Genomic DNA, 24,484 nt, shown 5'->3' on the forward strand with positions numbered 1-24,484 from the left:
TTTACTATAGGGAAATTGGAAATAACCCAGTTATGCAACAACACAAATGCACAGTAAGTTATATTCCCAAGCTAGAATATTATACAATCACCAAAATAATGATTTTCAGAAAAATTAATAAAATAGAAAAAAAAACTACAGGAAAATGTAAACAGTGCGTGAGGAAAAAAAGCAAGAAACAAATATTTTTAAATAATACAGTCCCAATATATTAAAAATGTGTATATATCTGTATTTGCACAGAGAATGAACTGAAAGGAAATGTATCAAAATATAACACCATTAATTTTTCTAACACAGGCTTATAATTCTCTTTGAACCTTTTTATGTTTTCCAAGTTTTCTATGAGATTTTGTAATTAAGTTTTCCATGTCATTCCTAAAGAGCTAATAATATAGTAATTGCCATTAGGAATAACCTGAAACAGTTTATTTTAAATTGCTTTAAAATGTATTCACTTTTCTAAACATAAGCTGCTTGGAGCAATTTTCAGGCTTTCTCACTAAAAATGTTTAGGTTTCCTTAAGACATACTGTGAAACATAAACATATTAGATGCTGCTATACAAACATGGACACTATCTGGCAGTCATCTGTGGCAAAAGCATCTACAATGGCACTGCACTGACACTATTTCTATTGAGTACATATTACACAAAATGAAATGACTTCACAACTAAACAGAAAGGGCTACAAAGACTAAGATGTGGCACTTTATTAGCCATGAAAGATTTTTCACTGCAAATTTGCCACAGCACAGTAGGTCTACTTTAGCATAATTCTCTCCACCAATCAGTAGTTCAAATACAGTACGATGTGGCTTATAGGCACAACAGAGCAATTGGGACTTGGAAAGACTTCCCACCTCTTTTCAGACAATGAACAGGCATAAAAGAGTATGACCCACTGAAAAGAAACGATGAAGTCAGTCCTACTCCTTCCCATCTTTCTGTCAAACCTAGCAGTATTTACCAAACCCAAGGCAGGAACAGGATTAAAAAAAAAAAAAAAAAAAAAAAAAAAAAGGCACAGAACTGAAGTCTTACTTAGTTCAGGAGAAAAAGATCAGAGTTTAGAGAAATTAATGCAGCTAAAACGTGGGGGCAGAAAACTAGGGAGAATTGGGAAAAGAACTATTGAGGAGCTGTAAACTAAACAATTATAGAAACTCCAAAAGATTGGTGGAGAAATATCAAAATCTAACCAGCCAGAGGAGAGAGATTTCATTGAACACATAGGTATTTAGCAGAAAATCCAGAAAGGCTACACATACCAGTAGGGCTATTCTAACTTTAGAGTACAGACTACTAGAAAGATGATCTAACAATGCTTCAAAACAAGCCTTAAAAGGATAAAGCTGATTTTCAAGTAACCTTACAGCCAAATATAAATACTCTTTAAAAGAGGACAATACAATCCAGACATTCAACAATATAATATCACAACATCCAGCATCTAATAAAAATCAGTAGACTTGCAAAGGAGCAAGAAAAGGTGTCTCATAATTAGGAGGGAAAAAGGTAAACAGAAACAGATGTAGAATTAGCAAACAATAACTTTAAGACAGTCCTTTTGCAAGTGCTCAATGATTTAAAGAAAATGTGAAACAATGAGAGAAATGAAGTCTATAAAACTGAAAGATCAAATAGAATTTCTAGAGCTGAAAAATACAATATTTGAAATAAAAATTCACTGGATGATCTGTCACAGTTAATTTAGACATTGCACAAAAAAAGATCAGTGAACATCAAGATAGCAGTAGAATTTATAATAGCAAATATAAATAGCAAAACTATAGGCTTATTTCCTCTGGTTGGTTAGATCTTGATGTTTCTCAACCAACCCTGTGGGAGTTTCTATGTTTGTTTAGTTTACAGCTCCCCAACACTTCTTTTCCCAGTTTTCCCTTTCCCAGTTTTCTGCCCCTACTTTTTAGTAGAAAATGCCTCAGTTTCTCCAAACCCTCATCTTTGTGTCTTGAACTAAATTATAATAACAAATGGCAAAACTAAACAATAAAGAGAAAAACAGCTGAAAAAAGATGTACAGAGGCAATGTTATTTTTAGGACAATATCAAAATATCTAAAAACGTGTAACTGGAATTCCAGAAAGAGAGAAGGAGGGTAGAAAAAACATTTAAAGAAATAATGTGGGCTGGGCGCGATGGCTCACACCTGTAATCCCAGCACTTTGGGAGGCCCAGGCGGGCGGATCACGAGGTCAGGAGATCGAGACCATCCTGGCTAACATGGTGAAACCCCGTCTCTACTAAAAATACGAAAAAATTAGCCGGGCTTGGTGGCTGATGCCTGTAGTCCCAGCTACTCGGGAGGCTGAGGCAGGGAGAATGGTGTGAACCCAGGAGGCGGAGCTTGCAGTGAGTCGAGATCACGCCACTGCACTCCAGCCTGGGCGACAGAGCGAGACTCCGTCTCAAAAAAAAAAAAAAAAAAAAAGAAAAAGAAATAATGTCTGAAAATTCTCAAAATTGGATAGAAAAATATAACCTTACAAATCCAATACGTTCCACAGTCTTCAAGAAAAACACGAAGAAAAGTGCACCAAGGCACATCACAATGAAACTACTAAAAATCAACAACAATGAAAAAACTCTTAAAAACAGCCATGGGGGGGAAAAAACCATCATGTGCACAGAAAGGAAGATAAGAATGACTGCTGACTTCTTATTCAAAAGAAGGAAAACCAGAAATCACATGAAAAAGACCTTTAAAGTGCTAAAAGATAAACAATCTTGTACGGGCGCGGTGGCTCACGCCTGTAATACCAGCACTTTGGGAGGCACAGGCGGGCGATCACGAGGTCAGGTCACTGAGACCATCCTGGTAACACAGTGAAAACCCGTCTCTACTAAAAATACAAAAACAAAATTAGCCAGGCGTGGTGGCGGGCTCCTGTAGTCCCAGCTACTCAAGAGGCTGAGGCGGGAGAATGGCGTGAACCCGAGAGGCGGAGCTTGCAGTGAGCCGAGATCACGTCATTGCAGTCCAGCCTGGGCGACAAAGTGAGACTCCGTCAAAAAAAAAAAAAAAAAAAAAGAAAAGAAAAGAAAAGAAAAACAATCTTTCTTTCAACAAAGTTTTCAATATGCAGTAAAAATATGCTTCAAAAATAAGGGAAAATAGATATTCTCAAACAAAATCTGAAGGAATTTGTTGCCAGCAGACAAGCACTATAAAAAATTTTTTTAAAGTAAATTCTTCAAGTGGATAGAAAATGATACCTAATAAAACTGGATCCACCCAAAGTAATAAAGAGCACTAGAAATGGCATAAAATGGATATCTTCTTTTTCCTCATTTAAGAAAATATCTTTAAATAATAAGAATCTATTCTGGCGATTCACAACATAGGTAGAAATAAGATACATGACAATATTCAGACCAGAGACATAAGAGAAGGAATGAAATATACTGTCGTAAGGTTCTTAATATTTTCGGGAAGTGGTATTATATGTGACAACAATTATTAGCTAACACATATATATTACAAGCACTAGAACAATCACAAATAAAATAATAAAAACAGGTAATACACCAATAAAAGGGACAAAAAGGAATACTAAAAATACTCACAAAATACTTTTTTTGTGAGTAAAAATACTCACAAAAGAATGGCCAAACCAATCTTCAGCAAAAAGTACAAAGCTGAATGCATCACACTACCTGATTTCAAAATATACTACAAAGCAGCCCAGGCAGGGTGGCTCATGCTTGTAATCCCAGCACTTTGGGAGGTCAAGGTGGGAGGATAGCTTGAAGCTAGGAGTTAAAGACCAGCATGGGCAAGAAAGCAAGACACCACCTCTACAATAAAAAAATTTAAAGAATTAAAATTTAGCCAAGTGTGGTGGCACACAGCCTATAGTTGCAGCTACTCAGAAGGCTGAGGTGAGAGGATCGCTTGTGCCCAGGCTACAGTGAGCCATGGTCATGCCACTGCACTCCAGCCTGGGTGACAGAGTAAGACCATTTCTAAAAAAAATTTTTTAGCAAAATAAAAAATTTAAAAAACAAAGCAGTAATAACCAAAACTGCATGACACTAGCAAAAAAACACAGACCAATGGAACAGAATAAAGAACCCAGAAATCAATCTACCCATTTTATGGTCAATTGATTTTTGACAAAGATGCCAAGAACACAATGTGAAAAGAACAGTAATTTCAATAAGTAGTGCTGGGAGAACTAGATACTGACATGCAAAAAAATGCAATTACATCCTATCTCACAACAAATACAAAACTCAACTCACAATGGATTAAAGACTTAAACATAAGCACTGAAACTGCAAAACTACTAGAAGAAAATACAGGGGAAAAGCTCCATGACACTGGTTGGGCAATGAATTTTTGGATATGACTCCAAAAGCTCAAATAACAAAAGTAAAAATAGATGAATGGGATTACATCAAGCTAACAAGCTTTTATACAGCCAAGGAAACAATCAACAGAGTGAGGAGATAAATCTATGAAATGGGAGAAAATATTTTTAAACATATATCTGATTAGGGGTTAATGCCAAAAACACATAAAAATCTTAGTGGCAAGAAAACAACCTGATTTTTTTAAAAAAATGGGCTAAGGACCTGAATAGACATTTCTCCAAAGAAAACATACACATGGCCAATGGATGTGGAAAAAATGCTCAACATCACTAATAATTAGAGAAATGCAAATTAAAACCACAGTGAGACACTACCATTCAGGGGTTTGAACAGCTATGAAGAAAAAGACAAAAGATAGCAAGGATTGGTAAGGATGTGGAGAAAAGGAAACACCTGTACACTATTAGTAGGAAGGTAAATTAATATAGCCATTATGGAAAACAGTACAGAGGTTCCTCAAAAAATTGAAAACAGAACTACCATATGATCCAGCAATCCCACTTCTGGACACATATTCAAAGAAAATGAAATCAGTCATACTGAAGGAATATCTGCACTCCCACCCATGTTCACGGCACCATTGTTCACAACCACCAAGATACGGAATAAACCGGAGTATCCATCAATGGATGAATGGATAAGAAAAATGTGGCCTATATACACAATAGAACAGAAAGAAAGAGAGAGAGAGAAAGAAAGTGAGAGAGAGAGAGAGAGAGAGAGAGAGAGATAAAGAGAAAGGGAGGCAGGCAGGGAGGGAGGGAAAGATAGAAAGAAATCTTGTCTCTTGCAACAACATGGAGGAACCTGGAGAACACTGTGCTCAATGAAACAAGCCAGGCACAGAAATGCAAGCACTGCATGATGTCACTTATATGTAGAATCTAAAAAAGCTGAATTCATAGAAGCAGTGAGTAAAATGGTGGTTACCAGGGATTGACAGGGAAGGTGAGGGGTCAGGAGGGTGGACCAGAAAGATGTTGGTCAAAGGACAGAAATTTTCAGTTAAGAAGAAGAAGAAGTTCAAGAGATCTATTTACAGCATGGTAACTAGAGTTAATAACAATGTACTGTACACTTGAAATTTGCTAAGAGAATAGATTTTTTTTTCCCCCAAGACAGAGTTTCACTCTTACCCCCAGGCTGGAGTGAAGGGGCGTGATCTCGGCTGACTGCAACCTCCACCCCACGGGGTTCAAGTGATTCTCCAGCCTCAGCCTCCCGAATAGCTGGGATTACAGGAGCCTGCCACCAAGCCTGGCTAATTTTTGTATTTTTAGTGGAGACAGGGTTTCGCCATGTTGGCCAGGCTTATTTTGAACTCCTGACCTCAGGCGATCCACCCACCTCAGCCTCCCAAAGTGCTAGGATTACAGGCATGAGCCACCGTGCCCAGCCAAGAGAGTAGATTTTTAAGTGATCTCACCACAAATAAACATAAGTATATGAGGTAATACATATGTTAATTAGCTCAATGTAGCCATTTCACAATGTATACATATTTCAAATATCATGTTGTACACCAAAAATATATATAATATTTGTCAATTTAAATAAAAGTAAAGTCAGATTAAAGATATATGAAAAACAAATAAAAAACTCAACCTAATAAAAGGCATGAACAAAGGGAAAAAAGAAGCCATAACAAATGGGAGAAGTGGGAAACAATTAGCAAGATGGTGGAATGAAATATAAAATATTGCTAATTATACTAAGTGAAAATGGATTAAATATACTAATTAAAGGGCAGATATTGACAGTTTGTATAAAAAGGCAAGAGCTATCGACATGCTGTCTACAAGAAACATACTTTAAATATAAAGACAGAGATAGGTTAAAAGAATGGAGAAAGATATACCATGCAAACATTAATCATAGAAATGCTGGTAGAGCTATTATCAATTTCACATACTGTACACTTCAGCAAAACAACAAATATTAACAAAGCCAAAGAGAAATATTTTGAAACAATAAAAGGATTAATTCAGCAAGAAGACATAGTAACTCTAAATGTGTATGTACCTCATGAGGAAGCTCCAAAATACATGAAGCAAAAACTGACAAATCGGAAAGGAAGAATGGGACTCTCTACAATTATATTTTGGAGATTTCAACATTCCTCTCTCAGATTTGGCAAAACAAGTAGACAGAAAAATCAGTAAGGGTATTAAAAAAACTTGAGGCCGGGCACAGTGGCTCACGCCTGTAATCCCAGCACTTTGGGAGGCCGAGGCAGGTGGATCACGAGGTCAGGAGATCGAGACCATCCTGGCTAACACGGTGAAACCCCGTTTCCACTAAAAATACAAAAAAATTCTCCAGGCGTGGTGGTGGGCGCCTGTAGTCCCAGCTACTCCGGAGGCTGAGGCAGGAGAATGGCGTGAGCCCGGGAGGCGGAGCTTGCAGTGAGCAGAGATCGGGCCACTGCACTCCAGCCTGGGCGACACAGCGAGACTCCGTCTCAAAAAAAAAAAAAAAAAAAAAAAACTTGAACATTATTAACTTATTGGTCATTTATGGAACATTCAACACAACAACTTCAGAGAACATATTCTTTTCTAATGCCCATAAAAAACTCATTCAACAAAATAAACCATATTCTGGGGCATAAAACAAGCTTCAATACATTTTTAAAAACTAAAATTAAGAGTACAGTACATTCTCTGACCACACATAATTAAATGGGAAGCCTATAATATGCCAACATATTTAGAAATGAAATAACCAACTTTTAAATAACCCACATAGCCTTTCCCCAAAAGGGTTCCTTATATGAACCATGGATGGCCAAAAATAATTTGAGTGACTACTTTCTCAGTTCTCCTAAAAATGTTATATAAATAGTACCATAATACAGCACAAGCACAGGAGAGAATAGAGTGACTAACAGCCTTAGGCATTAGAGATCAATCCTCCAAGGAAACCCCAGTTAAGACAGGCAGAATGAGTCAAAGAAATCCAGGGGAAATTAGAAAACATTTAGAACTAAATGCTAATAAAAATAAAAGATATCAACATTTGTAGTATACAGCTAATGCAGTGCATAGAGGGAAACTTATAGTGTTTAATATTAGTAGTAGAAAAGAAGAAAGATTACAAATAATAACCTAAGCTTCCACATAAAACTAGAAAGAGGGACAAACTGAATTCAAAAAAGGGAAAAAATAAGAGCAGAAATCAATTAAACAAAAAATGAACAAAATAGGCTGGGCGCGGTGGCTCATGCCTGCAATCCCAGCACTTCCGGGGGTGGGCAGATCACCTAAGGTCAGGAGTTCGAAACCAGCATGGTCAACATGGCGAAACTCCCCTCTACTAAAAAATACAAAAATTAGCTGGGCATGGTGGTGCGTGCCTATAATCCCAGCTACTCAGGAGGCTGAGGCAGGAGAATTATTTGAACCCAGAAGGTGGAGGTTGTAGTGAGCCAAGATCGTGCCACTGCACTCCAGTCTGGGTGACAGAACGAGACTCTGGGTCAAAAACAAAAAACAAAACAAAACAAAGAAAAACAAAATAGAAAATAATCAGTGACACAAAATGAAAATCAACTGAAAATTTATTGAAAAGAGAAAATGTGAATTGCCAGTGAAAGAGGAAACACTATCACAAATCCTGTCATTATCTAAACAGTATAGGACTATTACGAACAACTCTGTCAATTAATTCAACACCACAGACTGAAATTGACAAAGTCCTTGCAAATCACAATTTATCAAATCTGACAGAAAAAAAATCTAAACAGCCCTATATCTACTAAAGAAATTCAATGTTTAATTGAAAACATTCCCAAAAACAAAACCCTAGGTGCAGATAGCTTCACTGGTCAATGCAATCGACCCAAACTTTCGGAAAACAGAAAAGAAGGATATACTCCCAATTTTTTTTACGAGGCTTGCATTTCCCTTACGCAAAAAAGATCAAATATATTACAAGAAAAATAAAGAGCACTATGCCTTAAAATCCTTAACAAGATATTAGTAAGTCAAATGCTGCCATATACAAAAGGAGTCACACATTGTGACCAAGTGGAGTTTATCCCAAGAATACAAAGTTGGTTTAAAATGCAAAAGTCAATTAATATAATTCATACAATAACAGAACAGTGGAAAATCACAGGATCACCTAAAAAGATGCAGATTAAAGCACCTGACAAAATTCAATACCCTTTGATGATAAAAATCCTTAGCAAACTAGGAATAAAAGGGAACATCCTCAACCAGATAAAGGAATCAAGAAAAAAACTACAGGTAACAGAATACTTAATGGTGAAAGACTGAATACTTATCTCCCTAAAATCAGAAACAAGGCAAAGAAGCCCATAGTCACCAGTTCTATTTAACATTTTATGGAGGCCCTACTTAAGGCAATAAGGTAGAATATTGAAAATAAGAGAATTAAAAGGCATAACCATGGGAGATGAAGGTAGAAACTGACTTTATTTGTACATATGATCCAAGTAGATAGAAAATCCTAAGATCTACCAAAAAAACAAACAAATAAAAAAAACCCTAGTAGAACTAAGTGAATTTAAGCCCACAAATATCCACTGTATTCCTACATATGAACAACAAACAATTGCAAAATAAAAAGAATTAGCAGTTACAATAATATCAAAAACCTAAAACACCTAGGAACAAATTTCATGAAATATTTATAAGACCTGAACAGTGAAAACTATACAACAGTGCTGAGAGAAATTAAAGAAAATATAAATAAATGAGTGTGTGTGTATATGTGTCATGCTCACTGTGTGGGCCAATGTTATATGAACTACACAAAACACAGTTCTAAGTCTGATATGGCCAAGAAGCCACAAGTTTGGAACCTTTGCCCTAGATGTTCTAAATTTTATTGTTGAAACAAACAAGACCATCAGAAAACCTAGTACTTACACTACATTATTGTTTTCAACCAAATTGCATTTTATTAGCAAATCTTTAGTTTATACTCTGTATAAACAATGTGAAGGGTATATTTTAGAAATGCTGAAAAAGTTATCTACTACCTGGAGTATCTCCATTATGAGGGCCCAAAAGAAATTTTTTCTCAGATCTCAATTTCAGAAAATATGAGTCCTCCAAATCATCTAGTATACCTATGAAGCTATGGACTATGCAAATCTCAAAATTCATCAAGTTTCCAAATTTGGCTCTGGTTGCTAGTTAACTGAATCTAAGTTTAATAACTGTATATTACATACATTTTTCTGTATAATCCATTTTCCTTTGGTCTTAATTTACTAATTCTACCTTTGTATTTTTATTTTTTTAGAGTATATACTCTAAACTACTTCAAATCATTTTGGGGGATGAAATATCTTTTACCTAAATACATAGATGACTTTTTTTTAACTTAAAGAGTCAGGGTCGCTAAAAATTAACCATATAGTCAAGCACATAATACAGACCATAAAATATTTTAAATGTATATGGTCTCACATTACTTTTACAGAGCAGAAAATAGTAGGAGCTAAAGAATGTGAAAAGAAGACTAGGGTGGGAAAACCCTAGAGAAGAGGTAGGATCTAGGTGGAGCTCTGAATAATGAAGATAAAGAGGGTAGCAGGTAGACAACATGGGTAATAACAGGGTATTAGGATACAATGTAAAGGCAAACGGTTGAGATTAAGTGTTGTAAAGATAAAGTTGAGTGGATAGAATGAAGTCATATAATGTATAGTTCAAAGCCAAACTGAGCTTTAGTTTGATTCTTAAATGTAAAATAACACAGTAAAACAGGTTACAAAGGCTTTGACATATATAGGAGATACACACTATCATCTCAAACTTTTTGTTTAGTAGTTATTGGAGCCACTACCTTAAGAAATCTAATTGTCGGCCAGGTGTGGTGGCTCATGCCTGTAATCTCAGCACTTTGGGAGGCCGAGGCAGGTGGATCACCTGAGGTCAGGAGTTCGAGACTAGTCTGGCCAACATGGTGAAACCCCATCTCTACTAAAAATACAAAAATTAGCTGGGCGTGGTGGCAGGTGCCTGTAATCCCAGCTACGTGGGAGGCTGAGGCAGGAGAATCACTTGAACCCGGGAGGCAGAGGTCGCAGTGAGCTGAGATGGTGCCATTGTACTCCAACCTAGGCAACAAGAGCAAAACTCTGTCTCAAAAAAAAAAAAAAAAAAAAATCTAATTGTAAGCTTTCATAAGCAGAAGGGGTCTTAAGAGAAACTATATGGTACAACTAAATTTTAGAGATTAAAAAACACAGGAATAAAGAAAAATGTATAGTATTTCAAATGATGTACAAAGCTTATTATCCTTAAAATCCCAACCTACTGATCACCTGGATTGATCTGAGTTAATATGAATTACTTTTAGTTCTTCTTTATACAATATATACACCTAACCAAAGCCAAGGAGAGTCTAAACACACTCCCAAGGTGTGGGTTGGGCAGAGGGAAAGAGGGTGGCGATTCTTTCACTGTACAAGAATAACTCAAAATGAAAAACCAGCATTTACTATGTTCTAAGTACAATGTTGAGTCACTGAAGATACCAACAACAAAGCTATTCACAGAAAATCAGACTATAACACTAAAAGCTCAAGACAATGAAAAAGGAAACCCATTAAATGTCTAGAAATACTTAAAATCACTGTCAACATAATTCAGCATTTCCATTTACCTAACACTTTATAAAAGATATATTCTTCCATAATTCATAAAACATTTACGAAACGATCCACCTGCCAAGATTATTTTTTAAATGATATATGTAGGGCTTAATCTTAACATTCTGGTTGTCTAATGAAAGTTTTCAGAAGAGAGCATATTTCTATCTAGAGCTATCTCCCTTGACTTTATTTCATGGAGAAAACTAAAAAATAATAGAACAGAGAAACTGAGAAAGATATTAAAAAAAAAAAGTACTTGTGCAGATGTGATACAAAATCTTAAAAACGAAAACTTTCTGATATGTGTGAACATTTAAACCCACCACATGTTTTTGGAAAATCTTAACTAGTTATTTCTTTGTGAAATATAAGAATTTAGGCCAGCACAGTGGCTCACGCCTGTAATACCGGCACTTTGGGAGGCCAAGGCACGGGGATCACCTAAGATCAGGAGTTCGAGACCAGCCTGGCCAACATTGTGAAACCCCGTCTCTACTAAAAAAATACAAAAAAAAAAAAAATTAGCGCAGAGTGGTGGTGTGTGCCTGTAATTCCAGCTACTCGGGAGGCGGAGACAGGAGAAATGCTTGAACCTGGGAGGTGGAGGTTGCAGTGAGCCAAGATCACACCACTGCACTCCAGCTTGGGAGACAAAGCAAGACTCCGTTTCAGGGGAAAAAAAAAAAAAAAAGAAATATAAGAATTTAGAAGCTGAGTGGATAGAATCAAGTCAAATAATATATAATTCAAAGCCAAATTGAGGTTTAGTTTCTCAAACTTAAGCATGTCACACAAATATATGTTGGTCTTATGATGACAGTGCATAAATTACAAATGCTGAACATATGACAAGGACTAGGCAAGTGGCAACAGGACAGATTCAAGGTTAGAACCAGGTAAGGATAAACACTAGTTAGATGAATAAGGTCAAGAAGTGAGAAGGTCTGTGTGAAATCAAAGAGTTAGGCTGGCAGCAATATTCAAACACTGAGTTCAGGATAAATATCTGGACAACCTGCAGCAAGAAAAAGAAATCATGATTAAGTAGGCAGTATTACCAAAACTGAGAGAAAGAGGTTAAATGACAAAAGCTCAGGACAGCAAAGAATCCAGACAGCACAGAACACCAAAAACACTTTTAACACTGAACCTAACACTGTATTTCTCACCTCAAGCAGTTCCTCAAAATTTTATGGTGGTGGGAAGATATGGAATTTGAGAATGAGAAAGACAGAGATGTACAGATGTTACTGACCTTTCTCTTTCCCAGTGAAAACATTATTTGTTCCAAAGCTAATATCAAAAATAAATTGTTGCAAAAATATGGTATATATAAACATTGATATTTATATAAACAAAAGAAGGTGAGAAGTAAATCTTAAATGACTCAATTTTACCTCTATATGAAGAAATTTGAAAAACCTTAGTTTTTAAATAGAGGAAGATCTACATTATCTGAATTTTATTTTTCATTTTCATAGACTATATAAAATAAGAGAAAGAACTTCTCTTGACCAGATGAAAACCAAAGTGATACCTGTGAAAGAAGGGAAGGATAGGAAAGACACTTTATAGCCTTCAAAAAAAATACTCAAATTTGACAAATATTTCATATATCTGTTTCACTTACCACTTAATATTACTCCACAAGCAAAATATTTTTCTACTTATTTCTATTAATAGCTTCTCTTTGCATTCACTACTTCCTTCAGGAATCCTCAAACTCCTGACTTCCTGAAATTCTGAATGACTAATCTTGGACTGATAATTTTAAAGCAATATTCAAATTCCCACACAGATTTCCACACAAGGTTTTTCTCCGGCTCTTTAAAATTGCTATATTGTAGTTAAAGGATAGAGTGACCTACAGGGTGTGTCAAAGAGACTGGAGAAGTTGGTACTATGTGATTAATTAATAAATTTTATAAAATAGTAAAGAATACATTTGAATCAAGCAGACTTGTCTAAATCTTACTTTTACTCCCTTAATGAGTGTAAACTTGTAAACTGGGCAATATACTGTAAAACAGCAGTTGTGCAAGTGTGGTCCATGGGATCTATGAGAATCTCCAAGACTCTTAAAGAGTCTGTGAGGTCAAAATTATTTTTAAACAACTAAGATGGTTATTTGCCTGTTGCACTGTGTTGACACTTGCACTGATGACACAAAAGCAATGGTGGGTAAACCTGCTAGTTTCTTAACATCGATCAAGGCCATGATACCAATCTGTACTAGTTAGTAGTTATCATATTCTTCTCTGCATGCACTCACAATTTTGTATTAAAAAAAAAAGAGAGAAAAAGAAAAACCCAGTTTCCTTCATGAAGCAGTAGAAAATATCATTCTTAAACATTTTCAATCTTAGGCCAGGTGCAGTCGCTCACGCCTGTAATGCTAGCGCTTTAGGAGCCTGAGACTCCTAAAACAGGACTGCTTGAAGCCAGGAGTTCAAGACCAACCTGGCCAACAGAGTGAGATTTCGTCTCTATTAAAAAAAAAAAAAAAAAAAAAGCAAGAAAGAAAAGAAAAAGAAATTTTTTCAGTCTTGAATATATTACTTTAATATTCTGTGTGATAAAACAGAAAGCACTTCTATTACATACCCAAAGTACGGTAGCTGTCTCAAGAAAAACACTTGTGCAAACTGCAAATGGTAGCCAACTTTTTTTCATAGAATACCATCTTTTCTTAAGACATACTATAATTATTCACTAATTTGGCAGACATTTTCTCAAGAACGAATGATATGAGCCTGTCATTTCAAGAAAAACAATTCAAATGATTTGTCATCAATAATAAAATTCAAACTTCCAAGCAAAATTAGAATTTTGGAGATCTTATATCTGACACGTGACAGCTTCCCAGTTTTTGACTTTTCTGAGAACACTGATGCTGTTAGAAAATGTGATTTTTTTTTTTTTGAGATGGAGTCTTGCTCTGTCGCCAGGCTTGAGTTCAGTGGTGCTATCTCGGCTCACTGCAACCTCCGCCTCGCGGGTTCAAGTGATTCTCCTGCCTCAGCCTGCCGAGTAGCTGGGACTACAGGCGCATGCCACTACACCCAGCTAATTTTTGTATTTTTAGTAGAGACAGGGTTTCACCATGTTGGCCAGGATGGTTTTGATCTCTTGACCTTGTGATCCACCCATCTCAGCCTCCCAAAGTGCTGGGATTATAGGTGTGGGCCACTGCGCCTGGCTGAAAATGTGATTTTTAAAAATATTGCAGAATAAAAGAAACCAGTATTTTACTATGACCAATATTATAAAAATCATACATGGTTTTGATAAATTCAAAGTGCACAATAAGCCAGTGAGTTTTAATCTAACAAAGTTCAGAAAGTTCACCGGTAATTGTTTCAGATTCCACACTGCAACTAACCTTTAAGAAACTACCACTTGTGGAGTTTAGGAATGGTTTTAAAGAAGATTATCCACAATTATCTGAAAGGGCTATGAAAATAGTTTTTGTTTTTTTATCCTCCTAACAATGTGACACTAAATTTCTTTAGAGACTTCGACCAAATAATGTATCACAATAGACTGAATATGACAGCAGATATGATGGGCATGGTGGCTGGCACCTGTAGTCTCAGCTACTCAGGAGGCTGAGGCAGAATGACTGCTCAGCCCAGGAGTTCAAGGCTAAAGTGCATTATGACTGTACCTGTGAACAGCCACTGCACTCCAGCCTGGGCAACGTAATGAGACCTCAACTCTAAAATAAAAGTTAAATTAAATTAATAAAGAAGATATGAGAGTCTAGTTATCTTCCATTAAGTCAGATGTTAAAGATATTTATAAAAATGTAAAACAATGCCACTCTCACAAATTTTTTCTTTTGGAAAATAATTATTTTTTTATAAAAGCATGTTAACATGCAATGGTTTATCATTTTTTTAAATGAATAAATATGTAAATGTTTTTAAATTTTTCTTTCAACTTTAATTTTAATTTTCTTTAAACTATAATTTCTAATATAGTAAATAGTGATAGATATAACTCTCAGAAACAAAAAACTTTTGAGTTCTCAATAATTTTTAACAGTGAAAAAGAGACCTAAGACCAAAAGAATTTAAAACTATTGCTCTAATAATCCCTGACGCTCAAATTTTCCTGTCAAATGGCGGGGGTGACAGCATAAGGATAGAAGATGAGGGTTAAAAAAGGGTTAACAGTTAAGGGTTAACTATGTAACTAAATGCTGTGCTAAATGTTTATGCAGATTACTTCATTTATTCCTTATAAGCTGCTTATGAAGTGGGTACCTACCTCCTCACAGAATCATTCAGAGGATTAAATAAAACAATGCTTATGTAGTACCTGGCACACTCCCTCTCTATATATAATTTAAATACTCAATAAAGGGTAGCTAATGTGCCAATTACTGTTGCCACCATAAAACTATGTGCTATCCTACTTACAACACATATCCAACTAGTTAGAGTTCTGATTCCATCCAAGACTAAATTATTAATGGCCAGTATTAATCCAACCACACATGAAAGTTATCACCTCATAGGCATTTAACAATTATAAACACCTTGTGAAAAGCCATTGGTTTGGCAAATTTGGAAGATATATACTAAACCAAACCAATGGTTAACAAGACTGTGCTGCTCACCAACTTTGTAGTGATCAAGTGACTTCATATCAGAATGAGCTGTTATCAAGTGTCAAAACAAAGGCCTCTCACAATTCAGAACCAGTAAAGGGCCAATGTTGTTGCCTCTATAAATGGATAATATATGATGTAGACCTTTTCTAATTAATGCTCCATAACATGCACTAATTACCAGACTACGATGGATCAGTGGGAAACTAGTGGTTCATTGGACAACCGTGCCTTTACTTTCATATAAGAGTAATACATTGATTCACATACTTCTAGTTATACTACCTTTCCACAAGCTATTTGGAGCCTCCATATTCCACTAAAATATCATTCTTCTTTACAGGGATTAACTAACATAAGTGTATCTTATACTACTTCCCCATTAATTCTCCCAAAATTGGCATATGAAAGCAATGTTATAACATCAACCCCACCCTTACATGAAAAATTGGACTTCCAAATAAGAGTATCCTCACTGCAAAATATACAGGTTGATCATCCCTAATCTGAAAATTCAAAATCTGAAATGCTCCAAAATCCAAAACTTTTTTTTTTTAATTTTTACTTTTTTGTAGACATAGGGTCTCACTATGTTGCTTAGGCTGGTCTTGAACTCCTGGGCTCAAGCGATCCTCTTGCTTCAGCCTCCCGAATTGCTGTGATTACAGGCACGAGCCACTCACTGCACCTAGCCAAAGATCAGTAATTTTTTGAGCACTGACATAATGCCACAAGTGAAAACTTCTGCATTTGACCTCGTGTGACAGATCAATCAAAACTTTGTTTTCATGCACGAAACTACTAAAAAAAATTGCATAAAACTACATTCGGACTATGTGTATAAGGTATATATAAAACATAAGTAAATCTCATGTGGGTCCCATCCCCAAGTTATCTTTACATATACGCAAATATTCCAAAACCTGAAAAAATCCAAACTCCAAACACTTCTGGTCCCAAACATTTTAGATAAGAAATATTCCACCTAAAGCAGAACATGAGTGTATGAGTATGTGTGTGTATGTTTGTGTGTGTGTGGAGTATATGTAAGTATAAATGTGAATATATGTATTGTAGGTATGTGTATACACACGCGTATGCTGGTTTATAGGTAAAAATGAGAACCAGTGGATGTTCTTGTCAGCACCACATTCATAAATACATATAACAAAAAGATTTGCATAAAAGTGACAACATAAAGGTGTCCAGATAAAGAAAAATATCTGCTTACTGAAAAATTCAGAATGCATAAGGGATATCCGCTTTTTAAGTCCACTGCTGAAAACATGAGTTTCAAACTATTCAGATGGAATCAATGAAGTAAAATACTAGTATTAAAATATGTATCTATGCATCCTAAATTCAAGACTGTTTAAGATACCAATGGCAGAGGCCGGCTGCAGTGGCTCAAGCCATTACTGAGCACTTTGGGAGGCCGAGGCAGGCAGATCACCTGAGATCAGGAGTTAGTGACCAGCCTGGCCAACATGGAGAAACCCCATCTCTACTAAAAACACAAAAAATTGCCAGGCATGGTGGCGCATGCCTGTAATCCCAGCTACTCCAGAGGCTGAGACAAGAGAATCGCTTCAACCCCTGAGGGGGAGGTTGCAGTGAGCCAAGGTCATGCCACTGCACTCTAGCCTGGGTGACAGAGTGAGACTCTGTCTCAAAAAAAAAAAAAAAAAAAAAGATACCAATGGCAGACATTTCTTCTTCATCTTCTTCTACTTCTGCACTTCCACCTCTGTGAGACAAAATTAGCTGGACTAACCTCATTGAATTTCAAGTGCCTCACACTGAAGGTACTCAATAAATGCAGTGGCTCACGCCTGTAATCCCACACTTTGAGAGGCTGAGGCATGCGGATCACGAGGTCAAGAGATTGAGACCATCCTGGCCAACATAGTGAAACCCCGTCTCTACTAACAATACAAAAATTAGCTGGGTGTGGTGGCATGCACCTGTAATCCCAGCTACTCGGGAGGCTGAGGCAGGAGAATCACTTGAACCCAGGAGGCAGAGGTTGCAGTGAGCTGAGATAAGAGTCACTGCACTCCAGCCTGGCAACACAGCAAGATTCCGTCTCAAACAAACAAACCAAACCCATATCTGTCCAACATTTCTCAACTTGATTCCAAAACTTCTTGATGAATGGAAAATATTACTTTTATCAACTCTTAATGATTTACATATTTATCTAAACTTTTCAGTCACTAGACCAATTTAGGTTCTAAGAGTTACTACAACTTTTCCTAGTGAAAAATGTCACCATGGTTACTTTAGAAATCTATGAAAGACTTACTGGTATAGTATAGAAATGATGTGCATTACATATAACAATGTGCCTTACAGAATAAAAAGAAATATAACACGTATCTGTCAAAAAAAGTCTACCACATGGAGATTTGATATCATTACCAAAAATAATTTTTATGGTAAATAGCAAGTGGATTTCCCTTGTTTGACCTAGAATTCACTATTTACCATTAGTCCACAATCTTGGCAATCAAAAGGAAATGATGCCTTCCTTGAGACTCTTTCAATTTTATTTAAAAAACAAAAACAGCTAAGATAAATACAGAGCAAGAAAAGCTTCCATAATAAACCTACTTACTTTGCTTAAATCTGAACCTTAATTCAGTTCCAACCTAAAGGGTTCAGTCAAATCCTCAACCCACTGTCCATAGACAGAACCATAGAGAGTTGGCACTTTTATTTTATATACCACAACCTATAACATCAAGTACAGATGAAGCTGGACATCCTGGCTTTAGATGACAAAAGAATAAGAACGGGTATGAGAGTTATTATTACACTTAACAATATAAACATTTTTATTTTCATAAAATTTCCTACTTTCTTAAAGCAAAAATATATCAAATACTATACCCAGAACAATCTGAACTTAATCAAAATTAAAGGATGGAAATATCTGTGAAGATTTCTTATTACTAAGACTCCTAAAACTGGCTCAATTATAAATAATAACACTAAATATACAGTAACCAAGTTTCTGAAATGATCTCTCAGTTGTTTCATGTTTTCATATAAAAAAGCCAACATATAAACCACAGGTTTATATACACAGCCCTTGGCCATGTAAATTTGGGATATAAAATTGGAAGACATTTTTCCTCTTATTGATCATTCTAAGTAGTACAATCTATTGTTACACATAATTTTACAGGAAGGTCATCAAAATTCTAAAATTATAATCATGTCTCAGGAAAACATAAACAGAACAAGAAAAGAGGTATTTATATGAGCTGTCAGCCCTTTTTCTGCCATCTGTATATGGCTACTTTCCTGAGTATTAGTTCCTTTTACAGAAGGTAGGCAGAAGGAACGGAAATACTTTGATGCCTTTGGTTTGGAGAAGAAAATTACTGCCTGGATTATTTGAATAAATGAAATAGCCAAGACACTCTATTTAATCCCTTACCTTGGACTGTTGAAAAGCAATGATGTAAGTTGAAATCCACCTTTTCTAATTTTATTATACATTTTAGAGAGTATTTTACTTAAGATTTTAAAGGTCTAAATAGTCAACTTAAATATATGTGGGCATATATAATCAGTAATCACAGTTTAAAAGGTAAGCCATAGTATTATGAGAAATCATTTGTGTTATGTTCACTAATGATATTGACTTTTGTTAACTAATATTCAATAAGAGTACCTTTAAGAAGTTTATGATTCAAAAGATCAAGTTACAAAGACAGGAAAAAAAGAGTCTAATATTTATTCAATGCAAATAAGCATAATCTACATAAAATTCCGTATGTTCAATAAATAAAATCACAAAGGTGAAAATTACGGTAATGAACTTCAAGTAGCTCAATATTAAGTACAATAATAAAACTGTCACTGTGGTATACAGATGAACTTCATTATCCATTACTGGACATTTATTCAAGGAGTTATCCCTGTGGGGGGTAGAGGGCTAGGGAATATATTTTTCTGGAAAGCTCATTATGTAATAAATATCTGTTTACTTGCAATATGAGGTGCTTTAGAAAATGGTACATTTATCTGCAAAGTTAGCAAATTTATTCTTTGCACTCTGTATTTTTAGCACTGTGTCATTATGAGTACTTATAACTTTGGATAAGGCTCTTTTATTACTACTTAGAAAATGTTACCAAGATTGACAAATATTTAAGTCAAATGATATTTTAAATAAAGAGAAAAAGCTACTTATTTAGTATGATAGGATGCAACAGGTACATAGAAACTAAATTAAGATAAATTGAGAATTAGGAAAACTAAAATTGCAGAGGTTGTTTTAATAACTAGCAACATTGAATAAATAAGGTAACATGAAATCTTAACATGGTATTAAACAATTGAGATAATAAAAAGCCAGTTGTTCAGGTAGCATTAAAAAAACCTATGCATAAAGCACAAAACAGTGCTCAAGTAGGATTTCCTCAGAACATAAATAAGACTTCTAAAATCTGTTATATGCTGAAGTTTTAAATGGCTAAGAAAAATTGTCAAATAGATTTATCAAAATCTCCAAAGCACACTTCTTTAAAATCCAAACCAAAAAATTTTAAAAGCAAATTAAAATGTAACACTAGAACTCTGTAATCTAATTAGGCTTATTTAAACTGAACCACTAAAAAGTCATGTGGCCACTTGTAATTACTAAACTCCTTTGATGAAAGTTTATACTACTATTTCTAAGTAGATAATTTTACCACACATTTTTAAGGAAACTCACTAATAGAAACAAAGTAAAAAATAAAAGAGAAAAGAATAAAAATTAACCACAATTCAACTTAGACCTAACAGCTTTTAGGAAAGGGGAAAAGAGCACATTGGCAGGTGTCTGCAAGGAGGTAGGTAATAAATGGAATCAGTTTTCATTCTGCAGAACAACCATGAGACTTGCTGCAATGTCAGCTCCAAGCACACACTGAGGGACTCCAGAAAATACTCATTGATCATGCAGCACTTTATAATGCGCATAGGCTTTTTTCTCCTGCTAACCCCGCCTAGCTTCCCTTTGCAGCTTCTTCTCCCAAGCCCTCTCCCCACAGTAAAATAATCTTCCTGAAGATGTGAAATAGTTAATAAATTATCTCAACAGTCTAAGTATTAGGAATACCACTCACCACCATAAAGCCTCTTTATCTGAATTACCCAGGTTTTATCTAATGAGGAAAAAAAAGAAAAACCCTACACAATCCCACAGATAAGAATATGAGATTTAAATACCTATACCTATAAATACAAATTTCTAATAGTATACTACATTCAATGCCAAAAGCAATTATAGTTTCACTTTGACATGTATTTCCTTGGACTGATTTATACTCAAATAGGATCTTATAAAATTTTTACAACCAGAAAAGAGAAAATATAATTTAAAATGTTCATGATTCAAATTATAGTAATTTTGTATTGATGTCTCTCTAGCATCAGTGCCCTAAATTTCAGGGTTTTAATATTTTTAATTTAATAATTTGTTTTATAATAATCAAAGTCACATGAAAAATCTAGGACCAGAGTATACCAGCTAAATTAAGCAATCAGATTGATATAAACATGCTTAGTTTAAAGCTAAAATAACCGTTTTTAATAGTTAACTGCAGCAAAGCTTTAGGCTTAGATATGTAAATGAATTCTAAGACATATGATACTAAACCTTACTCAAAGCTGCTTTGCAGACCCCACCTTCTAATGAGTTAATCTAAAGGTCACCACCAGCACAAGGCTTTTTATTAAGCCTGAGTCTCCCCTTTTTCCCTAACAAACATATATCTACAATTTATGAAACATGAAGTTTAAACAAAATAATTATAGACGTCTATAGTAATCATGTGAACCAGTCTGAAACATTCTCACACGGAATAGGTCTGACCGTGTCTTGCTTTTATGCTCTGCTTCTCTTTGCTCTCTCCTCTAATCTATTCATCTGTAAAATAATTCCGGCAGATAAGATTTCTTTGTTCAGATTTCAACTTTCATTTCACTTACAAACCTAGCCCTACCTCAAGAATGTCTTCTAGAACATATGCTTCCATTTCAGCCGCTGTCTCCACCATGTTTTATCAAACTGCCATGTTTCTTACTGCACTATGATTAGATCATTGCCAGCAGGAACACTCCTCTGTGTCAGCAAGGGAACAGGAAATGGAATGTTCTATTACATGCCTAAAGCAGCTTAGCTGTTCACTAGCCAGGCATCTACCAAAAGAGCAGGGGGTGACTCACTGTGTATTTTTTAAAGATACAGAAGCTCTATTCCAAAGCAAACTTCTGTCAAGTAATTTTAACAGACAAAATAAAGTCTCTTATTTTACCACTTCAATTTTTAAAATCCTAAAATTTCAAAAAAGAAATAACATATTTTTTAAAAAGCTATTTAACACGTCTGGCTTCCTGGTTGAACAAAAGAGGTTGAAGTGGGTTACGCAGCAATTTATCCTTAGTAAAGCCTTGTAGTGAGATTAATGGTTGTATTAAAGACGCAAAGAAGGAGGCATGATAATGCCAAGTTAGAAATTTGCTACATCAGGCAAATGTATTATATAACATACATATTACAGTTGACTTCAGGGTTTCAAAAATAATTATCCTAATGTAGATTTTTTAATAGTAAATTGGTTTTTATAAACTAATCTGCTTGTAAATACTTATGAGAACCAGGTTAACATTCAACTAATTTACAGTTACTGAAGCAAGCTATAATATTTGATATATGCATTTTCTAGTAGTGCCTTTAACTTCATTTACTAACCAAAGAAATGGCCTTTTTCTCTTACAATAAATACTCTAAGAGACTAAAATATCCTAGATAAATGAAATTTAGAGACACCAAATCTGGATCATCAAACAGCAAATAAAGTGAGTGAGTGACAGTGGAGCCAATATATATTATATTCATTCCTGTAATTGATCTTCCATTTAGTAAAACTTGTTAGATTGTCAAATTTCTTCCTTATACAACTTTGAATATGAAAAAATGCACTGAAAAAGGAACAATGGGCCGAGCGCAGTGGCTCACACCTGTAATCCCAGCACTTGGGGAGGCTGAGGCGAGCAGATCATTTGAGGCCAGGAGTTCGATCAAGACCAGCCTGGCCAACATGGTGAAACCCCGTCTCTACTAAAAATACAAAAATTAGCTGGGCGTGGTAGTGCATGCCTGTAATCCCAGCTACTCAGGTGGCTGCATGAGAATCACGTGAACCCGGGAGGTGGATGTTGCCATTGTGCCACTGGCACCCTAGCCTGGGCAACAGAGCGAGACTGTCTCCAAAAACAAAAAGGAACAATGTTTTATGCTCTAAACTGAGAAAAGTGATGTGATGATGTGCATGACATTGCTGGTACTATCTCCTCAAAGTGATGTCATGTTTTAGTGGTGATTTTGGAGTACTCTTGGGCCTCAATTTATTAATCATGAAATGGGATAATATTCATTCAACTTGAAATATCAGAAACTGCTCTAGGTGCAGTCAACTAGACAGATTATGGTTTCTTAACAGTTTATATGAAGATTAAATGATATAAAGTACCTACTACACGGTTTCTGGTATTTAAGAAATACCCATACTGTGTCAAGCAATATATGATTTCTTTTTTTAAAAAAATAAACATATTATTTATCCTCATAACAACCCAGCTATGTCATATTTTTAAACTACATTTTGCTTACTATATGCCATTTTAAATGCTTTTTATATATTAACTCATTTAATTTTCACAGTAATCCTAAAACATATTATTATTATCCCCATTTTACGTATGTGGAAATGGGACAAAAAGAGGTTAAGCAACTTGCCCAATTATTTCAAGCTAAGCTAATTAAGTTGAAGAGTTGAGATCTGAATTCAGGCAGTTTGCACCAGACTGGAGTCCATATCCAGAATCATCAACTATACTTCTTCCCTGTGATAATCTCATTTTACGAATAAGGGAACCAAGTATCAGACAGGGCACACAGTTATATGCAGAGTCAAATCCAGATGCAAATCCAGAACTGATTGCAAAGGGTATGTGGAATTAATGGCAAACAAATGACACTATGTTTTACCTCATACCATACCTAGTGTTTACATTTAGGTATGGGTATGCCTGGCATTTAAAGGCTGCTCAAAGTAATTTACATTGTTGAGACCTGGCTTAAACAGAAACTACAAACTGGCTTTTGTTATTTCCTGCCTCCCAGGTCAATTCTTTCTATGCTTCAAATAAACTGCTCCATCTTTAGACTTAAAACAAGTCGTCAACAAAGTTTCCCTTCCTCAAATTTTCCTCTAATGCTATCAAGCAATGATAGGTTTGAGTTCAAGGAACGTATGCTGGAACACTCTCCTTTTCCATAAACCAAGAATAGGCCTTCCAAATCCTTTATCTGACAAGAAATGGGGGCCCCTAAGACTAAAGTTAATAAAACCTTTCACTCTCCCCTTCTCTTCCATTCTAGGATTATGGGGTGCTTCTGTTTTCTGACATTTACTGTTGTTTTTAACAATACATATGTGATTATGGCTTTCTCACAGAATTATGGCTATCATTTATTATCTGTCTCCCTTAAAGACTAGAAAAAAGCAGGCAACACTGTTGAAAGCAGGCAATACTTTGGCCAGGCGCGGTGGCTCATGCCTGTCCTGTAATCCCAGCACTCTGGGAGGCCCAGGCGGGCAGATCACCTGAGGTCAGGAGTTCGAGAAGAGTCTGACTAACATGGTGAAACCCTGTCTCTACTAAAAATACAAAAACAATAAGTTGGCTGTAGTGGTGGGCGCCTGTAATCCCAGCTACTTGGGAGGCTGAGGCAGGAGAATCGCTTGAACCCGGGAGGTGGAGGTTGCAGTGA

General features: G+C 35.6%; 1 protein-coding gene across 23 annotated transcripts in view; it reads right to left on the reverse strand.

Moving 5' to 3' along the window:
- ANKRD17 (ankyrin repeat domain 17) overlaps positions 1–24,484 on the reverse strand; it is a 185,423-nt gene that overhangs the window by 127,948 nt on the left and 32,991 nt on the right. For 9 of the 23 annotated variants that reach the window (XM_017008013.2, XM_017008012.2, XM_017008011.2 and 6 more), the window contains exon 1: positions 21,651–21,734. The exons of the other annotated variants lie outside the window; for them this stretch is intronic. In XM_017008013.2, coding sequence (XP_016863502.1) covers positions 21,651–21,704 — 54 coding nt within the window. In that variant the 5' untranslated portion in view covers positions 21,705–21,734. Of the gene's footprint in view, positions 1–21,650; positions 21,735–24,484 lie in introns of those variants that run through there. 23 annotated transcript variants of the gene reach the window in all.

The sequence above is a fragment of the Homo sapiens genome, chromosome 4 (genome assembly GCF_000001405.40).
Source record: "Homo sapiens chromosome 4, GRCh38.p14 Primary Assembly".
In the NCBI taxonomy this organism is placed as follows: Eukaryota; Metazoa; Chordata; class Mammalia; order Primates; family Hominidae; genus Homo; species Homo sapiens.